The sequence below is a fragment of the Homo sapiens genome, chromosome 8 (genome assembly GCF_000001405.40).
Source record: "Homo sapiens chromosome 8, GRCh38.p14 Primary Assembly".
NCBI lineage: Eukaryota > Metazoa > Chordata > Mammalia > Primates > Hominidae > Homo > Homo sapiens.
In genome coordinates, this window is record NC_000008.11 from 68,230,875 (window position 1) to 68,239,927 (window position 9,053).

General features: G+C 34.7%; 1 protein-coding gene across 2 annotated transcripts in view, besides 1 other annotated feature; it reads left to right on the forward strand.

Annotated features, from left to right (window-relative positions):
- Window positions 1–6,158, forward strand: part of PREX2 (phosphatidylinositol-3,4,5-trisphosphate dependent Rac exchange factor 2) — a 284,987-nt gene extending 278,829 nt beyond the window's left edge. For both annotated transcript variants that reach the window (NM_024870.4, XM_047422267.1), the window contains exon 40: window positions 459–6,158. In NM_024870.4, the coding sequence (NP_079146.2) occupies window positions 459–504 (46 nt within the window). In that variant the 3' untranslated portion in view covers window positions 505–6,158. The remainder of the gene's footprint in view (window positions 1–458) is intronic.
- Window positions 8,527–8,727: a silencer, noted in NCBI's record as "peak7062 fragment used in MPRA reporter construct". NCBI's record gives its function as "represses an SCP1 promoter by STARR-seq MPRAs in K562 erythroleukemia cells {active_cell/tissue: K562}" and the evidence as "EXISTENCE:reporter gene assay evidence [ECO:0000049][PMID:32103011]".

The following is a 9,053-nucleotide window of genomic DNA, read 5'->3' on the forward strand; positions in this document are numbered from 1 at the left end:
TCTGGGGATAGTACAAAATGAAGCACATTTCTAAAACAAGTCAGAAAATCAGTAGACCCCTATGAGATAGGTGCCATCTTGCTACAAAATAATCATGATAGACATGATGGTAATTATCGTAATAATATCATTTCCTGGAATCCAGAGAGTAGGTTTTACCACAAGTGTGGTGAACAGCCTGGGCGGTTGGCACTGGAGAAAAAGCAGCAGGTTTAAAAAATTCAGGATTGCTTCATCCACAGCCATCAAGCTATGCAGAGGGGCACTGGTGTTTTCTAAATCATAGAATCTAATTTTTGGAGTTTGCCAATTCATATGTTATTTTTAGTGAAATAGACAATCCGATCATGACTCACGAAACAAGAAATTATCATCAATGTATTTGTTCTACCAATAAAGACACCTCATGTAATGGTAATACACTAAGTCACTGTCAAACTTTACCATGCCTTTTCTAGGCTGTACAAGCTGTGCGAGCCACCTCCCCCAGCTGGAGAAGAATGAAAAGAACTCCCAAGAAACCAGGCAGGCAGAAGCTCCTGAATGCTGGACTAGACAAACTACATGCTGGCTAAACATTCTCCACTGAAGATACATCAATGCTTTTTTTTTTTTTTTTTTCTGTAAATCTTTCTTCCCATTGCAAACAAGTAGTGATCAGTTTATACTTTGATATTTATGCTGGAAATGGATAGAAGTTCAATCAGACAGTTCAGCTTCACGAACTGATGTCTCTCTGTATTGACATTAAGTATTCACTTTTAGAGTAAAATCCATCCCTGGGACATAAAGAAAAAAATATTAGAGATTTAAAAATTAACCACCATGCCTCCTCTCCCATTCATTAAAATGGTTTTATTATGCTTGTTTTCATCTTTCCCAAGTGGACACATGTAATAATGGAGAGTTCCTCTTGAAGAAGGCCATTATTGAAGAAACCTGGCGACATCTTGCAAATCATCATGAGAAATGTTAAGGACAATATAGACTGTGTGCTATACATTTTCAGTCCCCCATTTGCAAGAGAGAAAGTCATTAATGTGTAAAAGGTGGAAAAGCATGCTTTACTCTTTCTCCTAAGGGCTTATTTCTTATTAGAGGAGAAGAAAGCTGACTAAGGCCTCCAGCAGGACTCACTTTCTTCTAGCTGCCTTTGGGCATCCTTTATTCTTGTGGACAGCTCTAGCAAATCAATGCTATTTTTGGTGTCTGCAATGGGCATGGCTTCCTTGGGCCATGAATACTGGGTGCTGTGCCATAATGGCCCTGGGGATCAGGGAAGTGCCCTGGGGATCAGGGAGGGGAACCAGGATGAAGAAGGGGACTGTAAGCCTATTTTAAAACTAAACCTTTAAGTTAGATACCTAAAACTCTTAATTTTATGAAGGCTCTCATATGAGAGGTCAGACTCTTCAAAGAATACACCATCATGAGAATTTTTCTGTTAAGATATATGTATAAGATATGAAAATAAGGCTTTATTTGTACTTTAAAAGGACCATTAGGGGACTTGTAATTTATGGATGCACAAGGTGTATTCTATCCTTATTCTAAAGTATATGTAATGTTTATCATTTCTACATTGATGCAATAACATTGTTTTTAGCATAGTAAATACAGTAATATTTATTTTAAATCCATAATTTTCAAACAAAACACTCATGATTGTGATAATTATATGGGTTTACACTAATTTAGTATGTGAAATGCTTTTCATATCTAAATTATGTGCAAACTATTATTAATTTTTTTTTTATTTTTTGAAACTGAGTCTCACTCTGTTACCCAGACTGGAGTGCGGTGGTGCAATCTTGGCTCACTGCAACCTCCACCTCCTGGGTTCAAGCCATTCTCTTGCCTCAGCCTCCCAGGAGCTGGGACTACAGGTGTGCACCACCATGCTCAGCTAATTTTTGTATTTTTAGTAGAGACGTGTTTTCACCATGTTGGCCAGGCTGGTCTTGAACTCCTGACATCAAGTGATCCACCCACCTCAGCCTCCCAAAGTGCTAGGATTACAGGCGTGAGCCGCTGCTCCCGGCCCATTATTAAATTTTAATTTATGAAATTTGATCATGGTTTTCAAACTATTATTAAAACCTTTATCATTAACCATTATGTATTGAATAACAAAAATACCATGTTACATGTGTAGGCAATATGTGTATACTACTAGGTAAGGTAATAATAATTGTTATTTGGCACAGAAGCTCTAGAGACTTTTGTGAGAAGTCCATATACAATGAAAAACAAGGAACCTAACATCAGAGTTTTCAAGAAAAAGTTGAACATTTTGAATTTAATAAAGATATCTTTACAAAAATAACCTTCAAGGATTTAACATTTGTAGGACTAATAAAGGAACACAGCTGATTAGCTAGCAAGTCCTTTCATATTGTCATGACTGTTTTCTCATCACCATCCTGGAAGCAGTAATCCTCATTAGAGGCATGCAAGGGTCATTAAAATGATTTCAGTTGTACTTTGCCATATTTCATGGGGCAAATTATCAGCTATATTGTGGTATTTATAAGCTAACATATTTTATATTTTTAAGGATCTACTTTCTTCATAATAGAATGTGCTTCATATTATTTTTAGGGTTAAACATAAGTGTGTCGTCTATCATGCTTGGTACTTACTAAATGCTCAAAAATTAGTAATGGTTTATATTAACATCAGTCACTCTAACTTCTGATCGTAATAAAAATTGTAGCTAACACTTATTAAGGGATTACTACATGCCCAGTAATACCTCCAAATGCTTTGCCTGTATTCTGTTGTTATTGCTTCACTTAATCCTCATAATAATGACGTGACATGGTACTCTTTTTATCGCGCCCATTTTTAGAGTTGAGGAACCAAAGCAAAGAATAACCCAGTGACTTGCACAAAGTCACATGATTGACAAGGGGTAGAACCAAAATTTGAACCCAGGAAGTCTGCCTTCTTAATGCATTATGCTACTTTTCCTTATCAATATAAGAACTATTGTAATATTACGATGATTTGTAAGTAAATTTGGAGTTATGCGGCATGTGTTGTCATTAAATTATACATCTTGTATTAAAAAACGGTGAATGGAAATATGTAAATGCTTTAATTATATGAAAATTATAGTGTTTCCTGGACATTTTACAACTCTGGATGCACATTTTGAGGTAACTCAACAGTGTTGCAATCTGAAAAACTATTTTGTATCATGTTCCTCCTCATCAAAAATAACAGTTTTAGATAGTACATCTCATACAACTTTATTATAATTCCAACACAGTGGTAAGAGTAAAAAACATACCTAATGGATGAATGAATAATGACAATTTTTTCAATGCCATATGTACCTCCATGTGACATTGGGCATTAAATGGCCTTGAGGTTTTAGGATGTGTTTACCTTAATGCTACATGCTCCTCTATAACCAGTGCACCTTCAAATACTGCTAAAACCTGCTAACTTCTTCCAGGTTCTGAGCATGGACAACTCCCACCGCCCCCCAACCTAAAAGGGAAGGTCATGCATAGAAAGTTTGGATTTTAACTTAGAGCCTGACTCAAAAATAATTGTGAACTAAAAATTCATAGTCAATACTTTTTAAGCATTCTATTATCTCCTATAATTTTTTCTAATATTAATTCCAAATATTACAAAATTTAATGTGATATTAAAGTATGAAAAATTTGAGAAGATTAGAATTTTACATGTATTTCCATTCCTATTTAAAGAGAGAAAATGGGGAGATAATTTCTGTGCTAGTTTTACTTATATTGGATATATAATATTGAATTTATAGTATAAGCTTTATTTTATCAGTTCGCAAATCTGAAGTCTCATACTGTTTTCTGTCTCTTTAAAACACATTCTTCTGGTGGCTTGGGTTCATTGTGCATTCATTGGCCACTCTTCTTGCAGCAAATTTTAAATCAATTTAAAATTAGGTAAACTTTTTATGATACTATAATATATATGACGTTGAAATGACATTGGTTCTGAGTCTATTAATTTAAATTTTGGGATCATTACATTCAGAATGAAATGAAATTGACCTTGATACTAACTTTGAGAGCCAAAAAAATGAATGGGTAAACAAAGCCTAAGGGTCATGTTAATTAATTTAACAAAACACACTATTTTCAGTCCTTTGGGCTTGTACATTTTATAGACAAAATTAGCATTTATTGATTTGGAAGTGTTCAATTGAGAGTAAATGACTCTGTGTTTTGAAACTAATACCTTTGCATTTAAAATACTGAAGTATTATTTTGTTAGTTGAAGTAGATCTTTTCCTGTGTAGCATGATTTAATGCAGAGCAGTTATTCACTTATACTTCTGAAAAGCCATAATATTGAAATTTAAAATGAATAGTCTTACTTTAAGGTCACTTTTACTTTACATTTTACTTTAAAGGTCGTTTTTAGACTTTATGCACTAGTGGTATTGAAACTAACCTTTAATATTTGACTAAATTGCTTGTGAATTTTTGGAAACTATGTTTAATTTTTAAAGACATTGTTATGTGAATTATCTTACTAAATTATCACTTAAGAACTCTCTCATAGCAGTAATTTCATTAACACATATATATACTAACCAATTTGCTAAATGAATTGTCGGTTGTCCTGCTTAAGTACTAGGGCCAAGCTTTGAAATGACTTAAAGTGATCTGAATTTTGATTGAGAAAAATAATCTGTCTTCTATCGAATGTTTGAACTTTTAGTGATGAGCCTCAGCAAAGTTTCACCCTGCATGAAGCAGAACAGGTGGGGGAAAATTACAAGAGGGGTCTGTACCAAAAATGGCCCCAGGATATTCCATTGAACAAATATTGACCATTATCTTCCTAGGTGCTACAACTCCATACTAGTCATTACAGTTAGTCTTTGGTTTCACAAAAATGTTACTGCTTCAAAGGCTTGGCATTAACAGTGATGTCAGCATTCATACTGCCAACAGTCTGCTGGTCATACATGGAAGACTGTTAAAGTGTGGTCTGTGCATCATTGAGCAATTGTTATGTAGACACAAGGCCTGCTTCACTCAGGATAGCTTGCTCCTCTCGCTGAGAAGAGATACCTGAAGTCTACTAAGTCTACTAAATGAGATATATATGTGTATGTATATGCCTATATATATTATTATATTTACTAGTGTTTGTGATAATGTTATAAAAATTAATAAGATTGTTTTGTTTTGTATGAATGTACGACAAATCGAGTTGTTCAATGTATTGAATGAATGTCTTACTGTAAGCATCAGAGCTGTCCAACCATGTGTAAATGTACCTGGTCTTTTGATCACTGACACTACTTTGCTGTTCAATCTGGAATCAACTGACCTGGCTCTGCCATTGAGAAATAACTAATTTAGAACAAAATTGTTAAATTTTAAAATTGCATTTCTACTAGAAATAGCTTTGGAGAGTTAATTTTAGGTGCGAATAACAGGATAAATGCTATCTGATCAAGCATTCATCCGAAAAATGTTTTTGAGAATTCACTTTGTGCAAGGCACAGCTGTTGGGGCTGGTATATGTGTGGACATGTTTGATTTGAAAACCTTCGTGGTGTCTCTGTGTGTTATTGATCATCTGTGTCTTTTGCTTAAAATGGCATTATTTGTAACACAAACCTAATATCATATATACAAATATACTGTATGTAGCCAAGAACACTAAATTGGTAAGACGCTTTAGAAAATATGCATTTGAATTTGAATATCTAATGCCTCAAGCAAATTTATTAGAGTTTCAGATGAATATATATTTTTGTAACTGGCAAGTAAATGAGTAGAACAGAGCTTTTTGCCTAAAAATATTTTTATAAGTACTCATTTACATAGTATTCATTATTTTAAATGACAAAATATCAAATTGGTTCTATAAATAGTAATTGTTTTGAATATATCCATACTTAACATCATATGAAATCCAAAATTTAATGATAAATTTCATCTGGATGTGTTATTATAAAAGTCATCTTTTTTTCCTTTGTAAAATATCCATGTAACATAGCTTCCATTACTCCATATTTTATGTATGGTTAAAATTATCAAAGTGCATTATGTATTTTATATTGTTTATTTTTGTCTGCATGAAAGATTGGAATAGTAACCGTGTATGATAAATGTTAATAATAATAAAGTGAAATGTAGTATGACCAATTCAGCTTCTTTCCATTTAAACTTAATTCCTATTATGTTCTTACCTATTTGGAGGACAAAAACCGTTAAACACAGATTTTCACCCTTCAAGCATTCACAAGCTCGATAGAAGAAACTTGACACACGTATGAAACAAATTCTACAAATATGAGCTGGAGGGACAGTAACTGCTAGGAAGGAATGAGAGAGAAGCTTAATATGGGCCACAGCATAGGAAAACTTCACGAGAGAAAAGAGACTTACACTGTCCCCTGAATTAACTAGCCAACCTATCAAGGTTTATTTAGTACTTATTATGTATCAGCCACTATCCTAGTTGCTAACGGTATAAAAATGCACATAATTCCCAAACTCTAGGGTCATAGAGGGTGGTATATTTAAGATGATTAATGCAGTACACAATCCAAAATGGCAACTACCAAGACAAAGCAGTGGACACTAATGCAAAATGAGAGAGAAGGCAATGAGAAACATGGACTATAGAATTCAAAAAATTTAGATTGAATCCAACATCTGTTTATGGAACATCTACAGATTACTTGTCATGCACTGAACTAAGATGGATATTTAGTATGTAGGAACACATGTATAGTCATTACCTTTATGAAATTTACAGTCTAAATGAGGAAAACTGATTAAAAAAAAAAAACTACAAAAATGATGAGAGAAGCCTGGGTCAGGAAAGGTCATCAGCATTCAAGATGAGTAAGATTAAGCAACAGAAGAAGGGAACAGCAACCTTGTTAACAAAAACAGGATGAATACATGCACTGAGATGAAAAAGCACCAGATATTTTGGTGGGATGGTGAGTGGCTCAGTCCGGACAGATGATAAACATCAGTGGATGTGCTTAGAAAGAGACATGGATAGAAAATACAGCTGGATCTGGAATGCCAGGCTAAGAAGTCAGGACACTGGACATTATGAGCATTCAAAAAATGAGATAAATAGTTGATAATAATGATAAAAATTATGAAATCCAAGTGGGGAGTTTGAAGAATGTATACGTTGTTGATTGTGCAGGCTACTTCAAAAAAGTCAAATCAAATAATAATTGGAGGAAACCAAAATCAATAACTGGTTTTACTTTTTGGAGATTGCTGGTATACTTCGAGATTGCAGATTTAATACAGTAATATGAGTGAGAAAATAGAATCAGCAGGTGTAGCTTCTTTATTTCAGAACAGCATTCCAGACATTTATGTTCCAGAGTTGTTATTCAGTGAGATACACACACACATACACACACACACACATACCCCATACAAGTATTTTGTGGTGAAAATGAGTTTAAGAAACACAGAATCAAGCAGGTTTCTCTATTATAGGACTTTTCCAACCTGCTAATATACTAATAACCATGGTGACTTTGGAGGACAATGATGGTATGCAATGTTTCCCAAATGCACTAGAATATAGGACATGTTTTATGGAAGATTTGTTATGATTTCCTTGGTATACAAATATTCATCAAAGCACAATATGGGAAAACTATGCTAGAAACTGCATAACATGAAGAAAAAAATGGTAAGCACATTGACAGATGGTGGGGTATTTACCTGATGGAGGTGCCATTTGGGCTTAAAGGAAGAAGTGACAAATACTTGCATAAATGAACAGTAACAGTGAAATAGAATTAAAAGCAGATTGTGATACTGTAAGTTTTATTCTCTCACCATTCATCTAGGTTCAGGGTATTAGAGGCCACAAAAAGCATATTCCATAGAAAAATGGAAATGTTTCCTCTCCTTTTTAATCACTTCAGCCTTCTAATATGATGACATATTGGATTAGAAGACACTTTATTGTGTCAAAACTTGGCTCCAATTTACCATGATTTCTGGACTAAATTTGTAAGGCTTGATGGCCATGACCAGGGTGTCATGAGTTAGACAACTTGAAGGTAAAAGACTGATTTTTCTTCACAAAAAGTATTAAAAAGATATATGCTAAGTGTGGAGTTTTCTAGCCTGACACTGGTTGGGCATTTTAAGATGATCTGAATGCAGTGGTATAAACAGCTCATTGATTTCTCGAAGCCAGTTGATGATATGGACCTCCAGGTCTGGAAAGGTATTTGTCTCACCTAGGGTCAGCCTCAAGATTCCTTGAGATAGGACATTTCCAGATCGAAATGTGGACCCATTTGCTATTAATCAAAGTGAATATATGGGAGGAAGTTTCAGTACAAGACTCTCTAGATATTCATCAAGTCAGAGGCTTCTTAGACTTGCTGCCCTTGACTCACTATGTTGCTCTCATTCAGAAGAGGCCTGTGAACTCTTTGCCAGAAAGTGATAAAATAAATTATTCCAGAGCTGTGTGCTCCGAGAAAGAAGGCAGTGATCATCACATGATATAAGAGAGTGTTCTGTTTAGGGCACTTTAATTCAGAGGGATGAAGACAAGTGAGGATATAAATAATGGTCAGAGGATGACTAAGGACATGCAGGAATTGATTGCCAGGAAATGTTAGGTCTGCTAAAAACTGCTGCTGCTCTTAACTGCCCACATGTTGATTCACTTAAAAATGTTTACCCCAGAGATTAGACATTAGGATGTTACCTCACTTTAGCAATGAGGGATCTGGAAGCTGTAAGTGAATACGGAGGAAAAAAATAGGCTGTATGATGATATAAAAAATGGCTGTATTAGTTTGTTTTTACTCTGCTGATAAAGACATATCTGAGACTTGGCAATTTACAAAAGAAAGAGGTTTAATGAAAGGACTTACACTTCCACGTGGTTGGGGAGGCCTCACAATCATGGTGGAAGGCAAGGAGGAGCAAGTCACATCTTATGTGGATGGTGGCAGGCAAAGAGAGAGCTTGTGCAGGGAAACTCTTCCTTATAAAACCATCACATCTCATGAGACTTACTCACTATCACAAGAA